The 18,839-nt window shown below is 41.6% G+C and overlaps 1 protein-coding gene and 1 pseudogene across 4 annotated transcripts in view, besides 2 other annotated features; both read left to right on the top strand.

Moving 5' to 3' along the window:
* Positions 223-722: an enhancer, noted in NCBI's record as "H3K27ac hESC enhancer chr5:33891879-33892378 (GRCh37/hg19 assembly coordinates)". NCBI's record gives its function as "activates a minimal SCP1, AML or CMV promoter by ChIP-STARR-seq in naive H9 embryonic stem cells {active_cell/tissue: H9 hESC(naive)}" and the evidence as "EXISTENCE:reporter gene assay evidence [ECO:0000049][PMID:30033119]".
* The window catches only part of ADAMTS12 (ADAM metallopeptidase with thrombospondin type 1 motif 12), a 368,456-nt gene continuing 350,122 nt past the window's right edge, over positions 506-18,839 (top strand). For all 4 annotated transcript variants that reach the window (NM_001324512.2, NM_030955.4, XM_017009905.2 and 1 more), the window contains exons 1-2: positions 506-766; positions 11,016-11,377. In NM_001324512.2, coding sequence (NP_001311441.1) covers positions 640-766; positions 11,016-11,377 — 489 coding nt within the window. In that variant the 5' untranslated portion in view covers positions 506-639. The remainder of the gene's footprint in view (positions 767-11,015; positions 11,378-18,839) is intronic.
* Positions 723-1,224: an enhancer, noted in NCBI's record as "H3K27ac hESC enhancer chr5:33891377-33891878 (GRCh37/hg19 assembly coordinates)". NCBI's record gives its function as "activates a minimal SCP1, AML or CMV promoter by ChIP-STARR-seq in naive H9 embryonic stem cells {active_cell/tissue: H9 hESC(naive)}" and the evidence as "EXISTENCE:reporter gene assay evidence [ECO:0000049][PMID:30033119]".
* Positions 4,334-4,440, top strand: RNU6-923P (RNA, U6 small nuclear 923, pseudogene; annotated as a pseudogene).

Here is an 18,839-nt window from a genome sequence, read left to right as displayed (position 1 = left end):
AGAGCGATGTTGGGAAAAGTTCAGGAACTTGGAGGAGAACAGCAGGGGAGGGGGCAGCGCTGAGCGCGGAAGGATGGAGGGAGTGGGGCCCCCCTCTGCCTCAACTCTGTTCTCCTCATTTTGAGCTTGTATTTAAGCACGCCGGGGGGCTGGCCTGGGGGCCTCTCACTCGCAGCTTCCTCCAGTGCCTCCCAGGGCGGCTCTCCCGGGTCTCCCCTATTTGGCCGGCTCGGCCAGCTGGGCCTGGCGTTCGGGGCGGGGCCGGAGGAGCGCGGGGGTGGGAGTCCGGGAGGAAGATGCACCGAGCGGGCGGGCTGCGAGGCCGCGGGGCATGCGGGAGGCGGAGGGGTGGGGACCGGGGTGGGCTGCGCCCTCCCGCTCTGGCCCATTCCACACCCCGCCGAAAGCGGACACTGTCAGCTGAATCACTCCCCTTTTAGGAGGAGGGAGGGGAAAAAGGTGTCTAGCTCCTTTCTGCTTAAAAAAGCACAGGGAGATCGCGGGCAGCTTTGCAGTCGCTGCCTTCTCGCGCCTGACCATGCACCCCTGCATCTTCCTGCTGGGCCACAGGCGAGCGCTTTATTTCTGGAGCTGAGGGCTAAAACTTTTTTGACTTTTCTTCTCCTCAACATCTGAATCATGCCATGTGCCCAGAGGAGCTGGCTTGCAAACCTTTCCGTGGTGGCTCAGCTCCTTAACTTTGGGGCGCTTTGCTATGGGAGACAGCCTCAGCCAGGCCCGGTTCGCTTCCCGGACAGGAGGCAAGGTTAGTGACTCTTCTTTATTTCTTTTTAAAACAGTGGTGGTAAGACTTGCGGGAATTTTGTTGCTCCCCTTTCCCTTCCCCCACCCGGCAGAACTGAACTCTGAAAAGCCATTTGGCTGCGTTGTAAGGAAATCTGGGCTGGGACCTCAGGAGCCTAGGCTTTCTCAGAATTCAGTGCTTAAGGTGATGAGTCCTTCATTCTTATAGAAAGGTGAGTACCTCACTCTTTTACAGGGATGACACTGCAGTCTTTGAAAGACCCAAGAGGTAGCTGGTAACTTTTTCTCTTTTGTCTCCTCTTTGAATGCTGTACTGTTTTGATCCCCTATTTTTCAGACTCTAAACATGGAAAATTTTTTTTTTAAGTGCTAACTGGCTACTGGCCGTCATTGCAGTGTTTCTAGTTAGTTTTAAACCTCTGGTCAGGAAAGGGGAAATGTGATTCTTCCCCCCTACTGAGCAGGCTTGGCTGTGTTTTGGTTTCCTGGAAAGATTTAGGGTTGTATTTTTGAAAGAATAGTCCTTTTGGGGGAACTATACCTCCATAAGGGCTCACTTTTTCCTGTCCTGTCTCACTGACCACAGCTGGCTGCTTCTCTTTATGAATTTCTGAACTCATGTTATTGTAGGAAGCATTGGAAGCGTTCTGGTGGACAATTTGTTGTTGTTGTTTTATTCTTTTAAGCCTAACAGTCAGCAGTTTATTGGACTTGGAAGGGTCAGAGGCACCTTCATGTTTGGTGGGGGGTTCATTGTACCTCTGGGGGTAAACAGTCCTAGCAGCAGCAATGGCCCGCGTGGCACTCTGTGTCAGCCCATCCGATCACTGGCAATAGCCTTCCAGGGTGCAGGTACCAGTGTTGCTGTCCCTGCTGTACAGATGAGGATGCTGCAGCTTGGAGAGCTTATGAGGCCAGCTAATGTAGAGCAGAGTTTTCAGCTCAGGTAGTCTGACTCTTAGAATCATGCAGCACTGTCCTGTAGCAATAATAGGGACACACACGCACACACACACGCATATGCACCCACACGCATGCACACGCACACAGAGCACTGGGTTAGCATGCACTAAGTCCTGTGTTTGCTGACTGTGCTGAAGCCTCGGGAAGTGTCCTCCATGACTTTCTGACATCCCTTTAATTCCCAAGGCCACTCGGGTGATAAACATCACCAGCCTGTCCTTGTTTAGGATTTCTAAGCAGGGTTTTCTGCTCATGTTGTAAAATTCAAATATTGCTGGACAACTCATCTGCTGTGGCTTCAAGACGTATCAGAAGCAAGTCCCTCTCTTTGCTTTACTTGGAAAGCTGGAGCCAGCAAACACTGGGGTTAGATGTCAGTCAGCCAGCACTCACTTGTGTAAACGGTCCAGATACAATCTCCCACCCCCAAGTTTAAAATAGCAGGGCTTGTTGTTCTTTGAAAAACAGTTCCTTTGTGAAAAGTCTCCCTTCTGGGGCAGCACAAACAAAGCCTGCAAGCACTTCCCAGGGCATTTGGAGATGATTTCGTTCAAAGACACACATTCTCCTGGGTTGGTTTTCAGCTCTGCTCCACATCTTCTTTGTAAGGGAATTCAGCTTGGTGTGAAGCAGACACCACGGGGCCATGGTTTTTGCTCTCTGGAAAGTGAGATATGATTATTTTCCCTAGTCACCTCTATCTAGAGCTATGTGCTGAGAGTATCCACTGTTCAAAAAACCTATAAAGTGCTCCAAGCTTATTGGTGATATATATATTTATTTAGGTTTAAAAATAATTAGAGGTTTTTGTTTTTCGAGGCTGAGTCTTGCTCTGTCTCTCAGGCTGGAGTGCGGTGGTGCAATCTCAGCTCACTGCAACCTCTGCCTCCCGGGTTCAAGTGATTCTCCTGCCTCAGCCAACCAAGTACCTGGGATTACAGACGTGTGCCACCATGCCCGGCTAATTTTTGTATTTTTAGTACAGACGAGGTTTCACCATGTTGGCCAGGCTGTCTCCAACTCCTGACCTCAGGTGATCTGCCCACCTTGGCCTCTTAAAGTGCTGGGATTACAGGTGTGAACTACTGTACCCAGCCAATAATTTCAGTTTTTAAAAGCATTTCACCAACCACAATCAATTCCCTAGTGGATTTACAAATAATCCACATTTGGTGCAAAGGAGAAATTTCTAAGCAGACTTACATTTAGAATTAAGAAGGAAAGTCACAAAGAGGGAGGAAGGGATGGATGAGGGCAAACCAGTAGAGAATGAAATTCTAAGGCTATCTGGGATTAGGATGGCCTGGGTTTTTCCCTCCAAATGACCTACCTACAGCCTCACAAATAACCAATCTCCTTAGACTTCCATTTCCACTTTGATAGCATTTTTGAATGCATTCAAATCCTGAACGTTTAAACTTGCAAATTACTTCAGGATCATCTCACCCATTCTTATTTTTGAAATATTTAATTTTTTTTTTAATAGAGATGAGGTCTAGCTATGTTGTCCAGACTGATCTTGAACTCCTGGCCTTAAGCAATTCTCCCACTTCAGCCTCCCCAAATGCTGCGATTACAGGAATGAGCCATCATGCCTCGCCCCCATTTTTACTTTTATGGATAAGGAATGGGAGGTCTAGGGCATCAGTTAGTCAACATATATGATTGAGCACCTAATAAATGCCCCTTCACGAGGAGGGTAAAGGGAATTGCACAGGGTTCCACATTTGGAGACAGATTCAGACACTACATTACCTTTTAGGTTCCTTCTAGTTCTAAGAGTTGGGCTAAGTCAGGATTTTAGTCGTTGGAAGGAGTATGGAGATAAATCCAGTCCTTTCTGGGACTAGAAACATAGAAACAGGCTATTTGACTAACTGCCCAGTATTCTTTCCACATTGCTCAGTTGTGATATAGGAATGTGCTGTGACTTACACAGGATTTCTTGGTTCACAACCAAGTATCAGAACAACGGGAAATATTAATCTTGCACACAACATGCTGCGTGTCTTCTACAGCCAATCATATCCCCTTAGGTTTGTTTACCCCTATGCTGTTTACAAAGCGCCAGTCTGTTCCATGACCTCTTTTGCTCCTGACATCTCTGTGAAATCAACAGGACAGTCACTTTATTCCATATTAGAGATGAACTCCAGGCTTGTGCAAGAAACAGAGGGAATGTTGCAGTGTTTTCAGATAAGAGTTTTAATTATTTATGTATTCTATTAAAAAAATTCTGCAAGGAGGAAAGGATTTCAGCTATTTTCTTAATGTAAAAAGAGAGTTCACAGATTTGATATTTTGTGTTGATTATAATAATCTATACAGTTAGCACATTAGTTATCATAAAGTTTATGAGCAAATCCAACCTTCTGTGGCATACTTTACAATTTTGAGGAGCCCAACACAGTTCTTCACAACATTCCAACATGTGTAAATTTCTATAATAAAAATAGCGTTGCAAGGTTACAGTTATCTTACATGGAAGATAATTATGAAAATAAACCTCTATTACAGGAATTTCATAATCTTGTTTTTTAGAAAGGGATCTGAGAAATTCAATTGTCTCTAAGATAGAAATAAATATAAAGAATAAGTACAGATAATGCTCGCTTTGGAAGCACATATACTAATATTGGACCGATACAGAGAAGATTAGCGTGGCCCCTGCTCAAGGATGACATGCAAATCTGTGAAGCGTTCCATTAAAAAGAAAAAAGAATAGGCCGGCGTGGTGGCTCATGCCTGTAATCCCAGCACTTTGGGAGGCCGAGGTGCGTGGATAACCTGAGGTCAGGAATTCGAGACCAGCGTGGCCAACACAGTGAAACCCCATCTCTACTAAAAATACAAAAATCAGCCGGGCGTGGTGGTGCATGCCTGTAGTCCCAACTACTGAGGAGGCTGAGGCAGGAAAATCTCTTTAACCCTGGAGGCAGAGGTTGCAGTGGGCCGCCAAGATCATGCCAGCCTGGGCAACAGAGCAGGACTCTGTCTCAAAAAAAAAAAAAGAATAACTACTATAGACTGAGCCTAAACTGTATACAACTAGTAGGTAAATATTCTCTTACCTCTGTCCTTTCTAAGCTGAGGGAAAAAGATGCCTTGTTTTGTGTTTTCAAAAGTGCTTGTGCCAGTAGCCTTTACTTGAATTTCTCATGAAGTACCATTGAAACTTGTGGACTGAGGCCTTAAATATAATTTTAAACAAGGCAAATCAAAGTATTTGGAGCTTATAATATTTCTACAAACCCTTGTATAAACTGTGATGTAATTTTCATGTATCTCAGCCTCTGGCCCTCCCAACCCCACACCTTATTGACAACCCGCCTTGACATCTGTGCTAGGTGACAGACCCTGGAGATGCACACAGTGAGGGCAGAGCTTAGGAGTGTGTGCTCTGGGATCCGATTGCCCAGGAAAAAATCCTCATCCCTCACTGTTGTCACTTTACGGAGATGGAAGTATAGTCCCAGATGAGGGATACAGTTAATAATGCTTACTCAGAGAACTGTGAGGATTAGATAAGACCAAGCCGGCATACTCTTAATGTAGTACTTGACCATAGAAATGATAAAAATTAGGAGCTATTATTATTTCTTGACACCTATTTCTCCATCGCTGTCATATCTCCTCTGAGTTCTGCTTTCATTGGCCAAGATTATAGCTAACAAATCTGCCAAACTAATCTTAGCTTGCGGAGAGGAGGCTATGGTGAGTGTGGGCTTCTCTCCTGTCTCTGCTTGGAGGTTACACATGTTTATGTCCACAGTGATCCCGGGTAGCCAAGTTCCTACCTTTAAAACCAACAATGCTAATGTTTAGCTAATGAATGTTATTTGTCAAGCACAATTTTAAATCTATTAAATATATTAATACATTGGAGCCTCACTCCCAGCCTAGGAGGTAGATGCTATTATTATTATGCCCATTGTATAGTTGAGGTAGCTGAGCTTGGGTCACCAACACAAACCACACTTTGTAAGTGACCCCCGATTTCCATCCACACCTATGGGCTGCCATGGCTTAGCTGCCTCCTATGCAATTAGATCAGGAGGGAAAACCGATCTTATCCCTCATCACTTTGCCCAACAAAGAGGCAATTACTAAGTCCATTGATTGCTAAGCAAATTGAGGTGTAAAGAGGTGAAGCACTTCTTGTCTGGTCAGATCACCGTCCCTGGGAGCAGTGTTATCACCTCTAACCCTGCTATACTCTTTGCCAAGAGCAGCTGCTTTTCTTTATTTACTAATGAAGTGTGGTGGCTAGAGCATGGTTTTGAAATAGGAGGCACAGCGTTTCAATCCAAGGAATGTTATATAACGTGGCATAGTGACTTCCTACATTCGGTTTCCTTATCTATGAAATGGGGATAACAACTGAATCTCTATCACAGGGTTGTTGTGAGTATTGAAGGAGGAAAGACTTATGGTAGCTGGCTCATAGCAAGTGCTCATGAAACACTTACTATAATTATTATCATATTATTCTACAGCCAACTTAAATTGGCTCTCTTAAAAATTCATTAGATCAAAAGCAACTGGGTCAAAATTTATAAATTTGTTTGCTCTTTTATTTATTGGGCAATAGGTGCTAGGGCATAGGCAAACTTTAGTCTTTCACTTTATACTTTCAAAAATCATGTTTAAATCTGTGAGATGTATCTTCAGAGGCAGTTTCTATAAGGGATATTTTAAGTCAGAAAATTTATGAGAAAAATTGTTATTTTCTGGATAAATTGAGATAACTCCTAGATTAAGTTTGCTTCCGCCACACTCTTCCCGTTGCAGTTCTTCTAACTCAGATCTGGGACTATTGCTTCTCTGCTGGATGGCCTGGATGGCAGAATACCAAGCCTGCCATTTAAGGCTGCCTCCACCCTGGCCTGCTTTTTCTCACATCCTTGCCTCCTGCTAACACTCCTGTTGATCTGTCACTCCAAACTCATTTTGCTTTCCTATTGCCTGAGAAGACCTCGAGCTCTACTCTAGCTGCCCCCTCCCCATCTCCAGCAGTCTCAGTCAAGGGATGCCTCTTCCAAGGTGAATTCTTCCCTCAGGATGCAGCCAGCTGTAATGGGCACAGTGAGCAGGGCATCGGGAGTGATCATTGTCAGACTGCCTTGTATCATGGGGCACTGGCATGCCTTACTTATCTTGTCTACTGGATATTCTCTATAGTTCTGTCATAAGCCAGCACAGCACTCTCCCATTCAATCCTTCTTACCTATTTATTTTTAATTGGGAAAAGCAACACAGGAACTACAATTTTTTTTTATTATTTTTTATTTTTTATTTTGAGACGGAGTCTTACTCTGTTGCCCAGGCTGGAGTGCAGTGGCACGATCTCGGCTCACCGTAAACTCGGCCTCCCGGAGGAACTACAAATTTTAAAAGGAAAAACCACACCCCAAATCTCATCATCATAAAAATATGTACTCTTACCCATTATTTCAAAGGCTTTGTTCATATGCATATATATTAATATATCTCACAATTGCAATTATAGTAGAGATGCAATTATACATTTATTGCCCCTTTATTATATCCTATTGTTTCCATATTTCTGAAAAATTACCACAATTATTTTGATATATCATCTCACACAAAAATTTAGAGTAACTTTTTAATAATGTAAGATTGATTTAGAATCACACTTGTTGGTTTCTGTTTCATGACAACCTAAATTTTATTATAGTTGTTTTCTAAGTATAACAAATAAGATATTTTCAACTCTTTTCAGAGTTTTTCAATAGGTTATAGCTCATTTGACTTGGAAGAGTATAACATTTTATTCAGAATTCATGTTTTAAAATGTGATTGCTTTTCGTTCGTGCTCCCTTTAAATCAGTCAGTCTGGCTTTTGGAAAAAATAATCTGCTAGAAAAGATGCTTATTTTTCTGTTTTGATGGAGATGCAGAAACTTGCATGTATAACAGGGTATTCAAATGGGACTCTTTCTTTTGTCTCAGTTTCTGCCAAGACCTTAAGTCTGAGAAGAAAGAAAAGATTAATTTTCCACATACACTTAAAGAGAAATTTCAGACCATATGTGTGGGACTTGCAGGGTGATGGTGTGATTCTGATTCCTTCACTCTCCTAGTATGCACGTGAGGAGAGGCTTAAAGGCCAGTGGAGAGATTTCAGAGAGAGAATTCCTTCAGGACAGATGAGAGTGCCAGGGCATTCATCCCCCCTACTGTGCCCCAACTCAAGGCAAGTGAAGGGACAGCTAGAGATCTTGAGGGTTTGCTATGGGCTTGGGGAGCATGGGCACTAGCATTTTAGCCTTAAAATACTGATAGGCAAAAGACTGCCTGGAATGACATTTGGTGACAGAGCTGACCAAAAGCACGGCCAGGAGTGGCCTGATTTTCATGACGTGGGATGGGAGTGAAGGGGATGTCAGCGATCATGGTTGCTTCTTTTGAGCCAGATTTAGACCTCATGGAAGGCAACAAGATGTGGATCATCTTGAAAAGATGCCAAAGAGGATGCCCTGCAGGGGTGACGTGGTTTCAGTAAAGGGGTAGAAGATAGGAAGGCAGTGGGCAGCCAGCTGGAGGAGGAATTGTCCACATTGAGGGACCTGAAGGGAGCAGAGGTTTCCCAGTGGACACAGAGCTTCTCTTAATAGAAGGCGCCAGTCAGCATGTGGACACTGACTACATACAGGGCACCATTGCTAGATGACACCGTTACTATACCCAGCTGAATAAGATATTTTCTGACCCAACTCCCTTCACTGTTCGAGCCCTGGAGGAGCCAGAGGCATCACTGTGAGTAGCAGAGGAGAAGAGCAGCCAGAGGGAAATACTATGGAAGCTGACTGCATCCGCCTCACCCACCCACAGTTTCTCTCTTTGGTAGGTCTAGACCTGGAAGGTCCTCCAATACAGATTGGAGCAGACATTTCTTAGGGAGTGAGTGGACAGGAGAGAGGACTGAGTCAGTTATACACCTCAGTTCATGGCACACTAGTATCATGAATTTGCGAAAAAGCTTTTTTTGTTATATATATTTATGCATTTTTGTTCCCACTCCCTACTCCAATTCTTCCCCATGGAAAACCATTTTAATGGGTTCCATATGTATTTCTTGTTCCAGTGTGTTCTGGAAAACTTTGTATTATTGTTTTAGTGTGTGTGTATTTTCCATGAATGTAAGTAGCTCTGCATTAGCTTATTTTATTTCTTGTTTTTCGTGGAGTGTTGCTGTGAAGATTTGCCCATGTTGCCATGTGGTCTGCTGTGCCTAGCTGCTGCAGTAGGAAGTAATGGGTCCGGGCTTTTTACACCTAAAAATGGAGACCATTTGTTAGTACCTGAGAGTGAAAACTCTGTATTCTGCCCCATATTTCATCCAAGGCAGAGAAGAATGATTCCACAAAGGGTTTGGAGGTAGTTGCCTGGAAAAAAAAAAAACAAAAAAAAAAAAAACAAAAAAAAAACCAAACAAACAAACAAAAAAACTCTTTTATAATTGTAGCCCATCAAGCCCAGTTATTTTAATTAACCAGCTGCAATAGTGTTTACTGATACATCAACATATAAGAACTGAGCACCTGTGATGTGCAAGATTCTGGCAGATTTGGGGATAAATCATATAATAAAAGGCAATATAAAATAAAGCCATTCTAGGAGGTACAGAAAGTAAGGGCATGAGGGTTCAGGGAAAGGAGAGAGAAGTTTAGCCAGGGACACTAGGAGAATAAAGAGGAAGGATTTGAGTTGAGATTTGAATGCTTAAACAGGATTTTGATAGAATGCAAAAGACATTCTAGTTGGGGAAGTTACACGAGCAAAGTAAAAGCAAGATCCAAAGTGCAAAACTACAACTGAGAGGTGATAAGTAGAAGGTTTTTTGTTTGTTTGTTTCAAAATATTAGTTTATCTTACTAAATGGTTAATAGTTTTGGGAGGCCAAGGTGGGTGGATCACCTGAGGTCAGGAGTTCAAGACCAGCCTGACCAACATGGAGAAACCCCATCTCTACGAAAAATACAAAATTAGCCGGGCATGGTGGTGCACACCTGTAATCCCAGCTACTTAGGAGGCTGAGGTAGGAGAATCACCTGAACCTGGAAGGCGGAGGTTGCGGTGAGTCGAGATCATGCCATTGCACTCCAGCCTGGGCAACAAGTGCAAAAATCTGTCTCAAAAAACAATACAAAACAAAACAAAACAAAACAACAAAAAAAGAAGAAGTGTAATCCAGAGTGATGATAAATTCCCTCCTAGGTAGATCCTTTGTTATTCTCAAACATCAAAATAAGGAGGTAGTGGTAGGGAGGCAAATTTGAGTAGGTCAAAATGTGTATGTGTTCTTGTGTGGGGAAGGATCAAGGGTTCCAGTCTTGCATTTTTAAAGTGGCAGTTTTTATGTTTTGAGCCAATGCCTCAGATCCTGACATATCTCCTTATCATATTAATTTGGTAAACACTTTTTTAAAACCCAGCTTCTTTTATGCACTCTTTGCTGCATTATGGAACACTCTTATGCTGTAATTGGTATGAGGTTTGTCAGCGTGCATATGATGAGTTCTCCATGATTTTGTGTTTTTTTTCCCTCTAATCTGACTTTATCAGGAAGTTCTTGATGTGTTGAAGCACCTTATAATCCACAGTGAAGCTCTGTGATTTGTCTTTCTGAACTCTAGACTTGAAAGATTCCTGTTCCTCATTCAGATCTTGCCCCTTTTCTAACAGTACCCCTCACGGATTAATTCCCATCTTAATGTGTCTCTGGTAAAACACCTGATATCATGTCACTGAGGAGGAAGCACTAGGTAAATTTGAGTTGTTCTGGGAGTTTAATGTTAACAGTATTTGTGTGATGGAAAGGATCTCTAAACTTCAAGTCAACAGTGGGATTTTGTAATTAAAAAGCTAGTGGCTGGGCATGGTAGCTCACACCTGTAATTCTAGCACTTTGGAAGGGCAGGGCAGGCGGATCACCTGAGGTCGGGAGTTCAAGACCAACCTGAGCAACATGGAGAAATCCTGTCTCTACTAAAAAAAAAAAAAAAAAAACAAAATTAGCCAGGTGTTGTGGCACATGCCTGTAATCCCAGATACTCAGGAGGCTGAGGCAGGAGAATTGCTTGAACCCAGTGAGGAGGAGGTTGCGGTGAGCCCGGATCGTGCCATTGCACTCCAGCCTGGGAAACAAGAGCAAAACTCCATTTCCAAAAAAAAAAAAAGCTAGCATTCAAGTTCCAAACGAAAGTGGCTTTGCTTTACTACCAATCTCCCTCACTGTTCTTCCATTTCTCCTTTTCTTTCAGAGCATTTTATCAAGGGCCTGCCAGAATACCACGTGGTGGGTCCAGTCCGAGTAGATGCCAGTGGGCATTTTTTGTCATATGGCTTGCACTATCCCATCACGAGCAGCAGGAGGAAGAGAGATTTGGATGGCTCAGAGGACTGGGTGTACTACAGAATTTCTCACGAGGAGAAGGACCTGTTTTTTAACTTGACGGTCAATCAAGGATTTCTTTCCAATAGCTACATCATGGAGAAGAGATATGGGAACCTCTCCCATGTTAAGATGATGGCTTCCTCTGCCCCCCTCTGCCATCTCAGTGGCACGGTTCTACAGCAGGGCACCAGAGTTGGGACGGCAGCCCTCAGTGCCTGCCATGGACTGGTGAGTGTGGGCTCTGGCATCTCCTTCCTCTGCCCTGGCCCCTAGAGTCTCAGCTGGTAGACCTACTACCAACAGGTTCACAGATGCACTGACATATGGGAGTTGAACCCCTGTGATGTGATGATCCTGGCCTCCAAAGTGGTTGGCGAGAAAGTATTTAATAAATAAAAGAGATCGACTTGAGAGATACAAAGAGTAAGGGCACTGAGGGTTCAGAGGAGGCAGACAGAACTCCAACCAGCAACATCAGTTTGGGGTTGGAGGGGGAAGAAGAGGGAGGATTTGAGTTTGGTTTTCAGCCTCTGAGGCAGCTCTGAGGCAACTGACTGGCTGGACAGCGTATTTTGAATGAGCAGAACCTAGATTTGGACTGAGAATTTATGAATAATGATGGTGATAGAAGCTGCTGTGATATAATAGTTGACTCTGTGTGCTTCGTAATCAGACTTCATGAGGGAACCTCGGGCAGTCAGTTGATCCCTTTGTGCCTCTGTTTTCTCATCTATAAAATGGAGATAATAGTAGTACCTGTCTCATGGAGCAAAGTTTGGCAAACTATGAACCATAGGCCAAATCTGGCCTGCCTCTTGTTTTTATAAATAAAGTTTTATTGAAAGGCAGATATGCTGTGTGTTTACAGATTGTCTATGGCTGTTTTCAAACTGCAACAACAGAGCTGAGTAGTTGGTGTAGTTACTGTATGGCTGAAGAACCGCACAATATTTGCTGTCTGGTCTTTCAGAAAAAGTTTACTGACACTTAATTGTGAAGAGTGTTTAATAAATAATAAACACTCAATGAATATTGGCTGCTGTTATTGTATTTTATTATTCGAATATGCCAGGCACTGGGATATGTGGTTTACTATGTGGTTTATGTACATTGTCCACTTTGCCTCGTTTTAGCAGATGAGACAGTTTGGAGATACTGAATAAATTCACTGTGCAAGTTACTTTGGGTTCAAGTCTTTCTATCATTATACGCTATATCTCAAAATGCAGCAACAGTGATGGCCCCACCAGCAACTGCAGGGCAAACAATGCTCAGGAATTCTGTTGAGATTTTTTGAGGTGTGTGTTTAGGGAGTGAGTGACTGCAGGGGAAGGAATCCCAGAGTCTCGAAAGTGGTTATGGAGGAGTCCGTGTTTTTGGCCTTGGTCCCTGTGCCAGGGCTGGTTTGCTAAGCAAAACTTCTAGTGGCATTGGCATTCCTACAAAAGGCACTTGTTCCAAATCCTCCCATTGTTACTGCCATTTTGCTAAGAATTTCTGTACTTTGTAATTTAGGGCTCTGTTTATCTTGTATCTCTGGAGTTTGGCTTTGCTAGAATACTGTGAGAAAATTCAGTAAAACATTATCCAGCAGTTTAAGTTTTCCAGAGGACCTCTGGGGATGAATTGCTTTGTACAATAAATGGAAAGTCTTGCTTTGCCTCTTTCTGTAAATTTGGATTTTCATATTAGGTGTTTATCGTTTCCTCCTAATTAGATCATAGCAGAAAATCAAGAATGGTGAATGGTTTTCTATTTTTCTTTTCCTCTTCTCTCTGGGCCTCATCAGGGGCTTCATTGAGCTGCAGAACATTTCCCAGCTCCACGGCTGTCATCATCTAGGCTTGCTCTGGACTCACATCACATCTCGCCTTTGCAATCCTGGCTCTCATTCCTGTGAGACAACCCTGGAAGCATTATGGCACCTGGTCCTCTATGGCCAGAACTGGAGAAAGTTCTGGATGATGAAACATTATCCTGCTCATTAAACATGAGCATCTTTCCATGGGATGGAGCAGTATGGTCTGTGGACCTGCAGAATCAACATCACATTGAATGGGGAGCTCATTACAAAGACAAACCCATGGGCTGCACTTCAGACCTAGTGTGTCAGAATCTCGGGGGAATGGGCAAAAATGTCTCTGTGTGTGTTTAGCTGCTTTACTGAGATATAATTCACATATATACGGTTAACCCACTTAAAGTTTACAGCTAAATGGCTTTAAATGTGTTCAGAGTTGTGCAGCCATCACCATGAATTTTAGAATATTTTCATTAGCCCACAAAGAAACCTATATCCCTTAGCAGTCACTTACCCATTCCCCCATTCCTCCACTCCTAGGGAACCACTGATCTACATTTGGTCTCTGTAGATTTGCTTGTCTGAAACCTTTGTTTTAATTAGCTATCCAGGAGATTCTGATGCCCGCTGAAGTTGGAGGAGCCCTGGACTAGAGTAGTCGTTGTTAACCCTGGCTCAACATGAAGACTAGCTGGCTAGCTTTAAAATGGACCCATGCACCAACCCCACAGCCTAGATGTTTTGATTTAATTGGTCTGAGAGTAGAGTCCCAGCATCAGCATTTTTTAAAGCTCCCTGGCAGGAGATTCTAAATTGCAGTCAATGTTGCCAACCACTGGATTAGCATAAGTGGGTGTTAATGGGTGGTATTGGCCAGTGTTACTCTAAAGTACCAGATCTCCCCAGGTGATTCTAATGAGCAACCAGGGGTGCAACCACTGCTGTAAATTGCTCCCTATTTTCATCTTGTGCTTTCTAAGGGAAATTGCATATTGTTTAGCATTATCCTAGGCTTGGGAATAGAATACTAGGACCCTTTCAATTTCAAATGTCCCCAAGGAGCAGGAGTACTACCATGTAGGCATTTTCAGATTCAGATTTCAGATTCATACGACGTTCAGAAGCACAAAGTGTTAGTTAAGATGATGGGAAATTTTCACATCCAGATCAGTGAATGATTTTGCCAGAAGAAATTCTACTGGGAGGATTATTTTGGAACCTTTTACACAAAATTGGATGTTTAATGGATGGTTATAAAAAAAAAAAGGCACCCAAAGCCAAATGAGTTTCTTTCCTTTCTGTGTGTGCACTACTTGGCTGGATTCAAGTTCATTTGCTTGTGTGCCACAATTTGCCAGTGTCCACCTAGAGTGGTCGTAGTCCAAAGGATAGTGGTTGGACTTGTACCTGACTTCTGATCACGTGTCTAGGGTCTGACATCCAGTGTAGTTGTTCTCTCTTTCACCCAGGTATGGCCCTACATTCAAATTCACAGGATGGCAGGCCTAGGATCTGCTGGCACTAAGCCCTTCTCCACTTTTAGGGGCAGAAGTAGCATTTGGGAAGTCCTTCTTAGGAAGAAACACATTCATGTGGACCAGGACGTCTGCCTGTCATTCCTGGGGTGCAAGCCTGGCTTTGTTTGTTTCAGATGTGGTCATCTGAATGAGATGTTGGAGGCTCTTGGAGTTGTCTGTGATTTGAGACTCATTTAGTCTCCTCTGGAGCAGACTCAGATGATTTCAAACTGAGGACCCTAGAAAAGCTACCTATGGGAAGCTGTGGGACAACCTTCTTCCTGCATTTAATATACTCTAGCATGGTTCCAGCCCTTGTCCTCTTTGAGGCTGCTCCCAGACTGAGTCAGCCCGTGTCTCGGCTCAGCAGCTGTCCTCTCTCATCTCCACCGTTTTCACTACCCTTCTCCCATCAACATTTTCACAACTTTGGCATTGTGGAATTTGTTTGTTTTAACAGTTTAGTTAATTTCTTCCATTCTCAGCTTTTTGATGGAGGAACTGTGTTCTTTAATCAGTTAGATTCTGAATTTATCCTCAGGAATGAGTATCGCAGTGGGGGTGGGTTTGGTTTTGCTGTTGCCAGGAGCACTACCAAATTGGTTCCAAGTGAATTTGTTGTTAGTATTTTAGTTTAGATTTCTGCACTGGAAGGATAGTCCAAGATATCCACCCTCGTGCAGAAGACAGGATTGGGGTTCTGATTTTTCAAAGGGCGTTCTAATTCTGCTAAGCACTTATCCTCTGGACTGTGTACCTGGGTCATTAAACTTATAATTTTAATTTCTGTTTATAGCACATTATGTAATTCCTGTTCATAGCATTTCTTAGCTCAGGCTTTACTAAAGTGAATACAGTTTTTGACTCTATCAAAAACTCTAATTCCAGCCCCTGCTGGGAAATCAAATTCTAATTCTTTATCTGAATAGCTGGTCATGGATCTCTCAAGGGCCATCCAGCTTTAACTTCCATCCACTCTCCAGCCTTAAGTTTCCCTTTCTCTTTGGGTGAATTGAGATTTCCTTTCTTGTTTTAAACTCAAATATGGGTTAAACTTTTGAGAGAGATATTTCTTAGTATTTTTATGTTAAACTTTTTATTTTGGAATAGTTGTAGATTCATAACATTTGTAAGAACTAATTCAGAGAGGTATTAGTATGTACCCTCTACCCAGTTTCCTCTGATGGCAACATCTTGCAAAATTACTGCACAGTATCACAGCCAGGATTTTAACACTGATGTGGTCAAGATGACACACTTTTCCATCACAAGAATCCCTCATGTTATCCTTTTATAGCTATACCCATTTCTCTCATGGTACCACCACCTCATATTTATATTTTACATTTAAGTCCATAATCCATTTTGAGTTAATTTTTGTATGAGGTATGAGACTTAGAGGTTCTCCTCCCTCCCCTCCTCCCTCCTTTTCTCTCTTCCTTCCTTTCTTGCTTTGTTGTTTGCCTATGGATGTCTGATTGTTCCAGCACCATTTGTTGAAAGGCTGTTTTTGTTTCATTAAGTTGCTTTTGCACTTTTGTAAAAAATTAGCTGGATGTATTTTTGCGAGTCTATATCTGAGTTTTAGGTTTTGTTCCATCAATAGCACACAGTCTTCATAACTGTAGCTATATAATTAGTCATGAAATCAGGTAGACTGATTCCTCCCATTTTAGTCTACTTTTTCAAAATTGTTTTAGTAATTTTAGTTTCTCTGTCCTTCCATATAAATTTTACAATAATCTTGTCTACAAAATCTTGCTGGGATTTTAACAGGAATTGTATTACATCTATATATTAGTTTGGGAAGAATTGACATCTTTGCTATGTCAAGTCTTGTGATCCATGAACATGGTATGTGTCTTGATTTATTTAGATCTTCTTTGATTTTTTCCATCAGTGTTGTGTAGTTTTCAACATCCTAGCTCTATATGTGTTTTGTTAGATTGACTTCTAAATATCTCATTTTCTAAGTCCTTATATTTTTAATTTTAGTATTCATGTGCTTATTGCTAGTATGTAAACACATAATTAATTTTTGTATGTTTACTTTGTATATACTGTGAATTTGCTAAACTGTCTTATTAACCCTAAGATGGTTTTTTTAGAAGATTCTTTGGGATTTCCTATGTATACAATAATGTCATTTGCCAATGGGGCAGTTTTATTTCTTCCTTTCTCTTCATATGCCTTTCAACTTTCTTTTCTTGCTTTATTACTTTGGCTAGAATTTTGAGCACTATATTGAATAAGAATGGGGAGAGCAACATCTCTTGCCTTTTCTCCAGTCTTAGGGAGAAGGCATTCAGACTTTTATCATTGGGTATACTATTAACTATCTGTTTTGTTTTGTTTTTGTAGATGCTTTCTATCAAGTCACGGAAGTTTTCTGAGAGCTTTTTTTGATTTTGAATGGGTATTGAATTTTGTCAAGTGCTTTTCCTGCATCAGTTGATATGGTCATGTGACTTTTCTTCTTTAGCCTATTAATATGATGGACTATATTGATTAATTTTTTAAAAAGTGTTTATTTTTTAAGAGCAGTATTAGGTTTATACCAAAACTGAGAGGAAAGTAAAGAGATATCTCATAATCTCCCTGCTCCCATATATACATAGCTTCTCCCATTTTCAACATCCCCCACCGGAGTAGTACATTTGTTATAATTGATGAATATATGTTGACACATCATTATCACCTAAAGTTTATTGTTTACATTAGAGTTCACTCTTGGTGTTGTACATTCTATAGGTTTGGACCAATTTATAATGACATATATCCACCATTATATTCTCATATAGAGGATTTTCACTGCCCTGAGAATTTTCTGTGCTCCACCTATTCATTTCTCCACTCTCCTACCCCTGGAAACCACTGATCTTTTTAGTTTTGCATTTTATAGAATGTCATATAGTTGTAAAGCATACAATATGTAGCCTTTTCAGATTGGCCTTTTTCACTTAGTAATATGTCTCACTCTGTCAGTAGGCTGGAGTGCAGTGGCATGATCTCAGCTCACTGCAACCTCTGACTCCCTGGTTCAAGCAACTGTCCTGCGTCAGCCTCCCGAGTAGCCAGGATTATAGGCACGTGCCACAATGCCCAGCTAATTTTTGTATTTTTAGTAGAGACGAGGTTTCACCATGTTGGCCAGAATGGTCTCAATCTCCTGACCTCATAATCTGCCCACCTCAGCCTCCCAAAGTGCTGGGATTACAGGTGTGAGCCACTGCACCCAGCCCCCTGAAGTTTTTTTATGGCTTGAAAGCTCATTTCTTTTTAGTGCTGAATAATATTTTATTATCTGGATGTACAGTTTGTGTATTCATTCACCTACTGAAAGACATCTTCGTTGCTTTTAAGTTTTGGCAGTTATTGATAACGTTGCTATAAACAACCTTGGGCAGGTTTCTTTGTGGACAAGAGTTTTCAACTCATTTAGGTAAATATCAAGAAGTGTTACTGCTGGATTATATGGTACGAGTATGTTTAGTCTTGTAAGAAGCAGCCAAATTGTCTTCCAAAGTGGCTGCACTATTTTGCATCCTCACCAGCAATGAAGGTGAGTTCCTATTGCTCCATATCTTTGCCAGCATTTGGTATTGTCAGTGTTCTGGATTTTGACCATTTCAATAGATGTGTGGTGGTATCTCATTTTTGTTTTAATTTGCATTTTCTTCACCATGGAAATGCATATGATATGGGATATCATTTCATATGCTTGTCATATGTATATCTTCTTCAGTGAGGTTCCTGTTAAGGTCTTTGTTCTAGTTTTTAATCAGGTTGCTAATTTCCTTATTGTTGAGTATTAAGAGTTCTTTGTAAATTTTGACAGCAGTTGATTTATCAGATGTCTTTTGCAAATATTTTCTGTCAGTATATGACTTGTCTTTTTATTCCCTAAATAGTGTGTTTCACAGAGCAGACATTTTTAAGTTTTATAAAATCCAGCTTATCAATTATTTCTTTCATGGGTAATTCCTTTGATGTTGTATCTAAACAGTCATTGAAAAAAACAAGGTTATCTAGATTTTTCTCCTGTATTATCTCTAAGAATTTTAGAGTTTTATATTGTACATTTAACTCTGTCATCCAGTTTGCATTAATTTTCTTGAAGAATATAAGATTTATTGTGTTAGTTTTCCCAAAGGGTGTCTGGATTATTTTTGCCTGTGAATGTTCATTTGTTCAGCACCATTTGTTGAAAAGCCTGTCTTTTCTTCATTACATTGCCTTTCCCACTTTGTCAAAGATAAGTTGATTATATTTATGTTGGTCTATTTATGGGCTCTCTATTCTGTTTCATTATCTATTTATCTATTCTTTCACTAATATCACATGGTCTTGATGATTATACCTTTAATGTAAA

The sequence above is a fragment of the Homo sapiens genome, chromosome 5 (genome assembly GCF_000001405.40).
Source record: "Homo sapiens chromosome 5, GRCh38.p14 Primary Assembly".
NCBI classification, from domain to species: Eukaryota; Metazoa; Chordata; class Mammalia; order Primates; family Hominidae; genus Homo; species Homo sapiens.
This window is presented reverse-complemented; position numbering and strand designations above follow the sequence as displayed.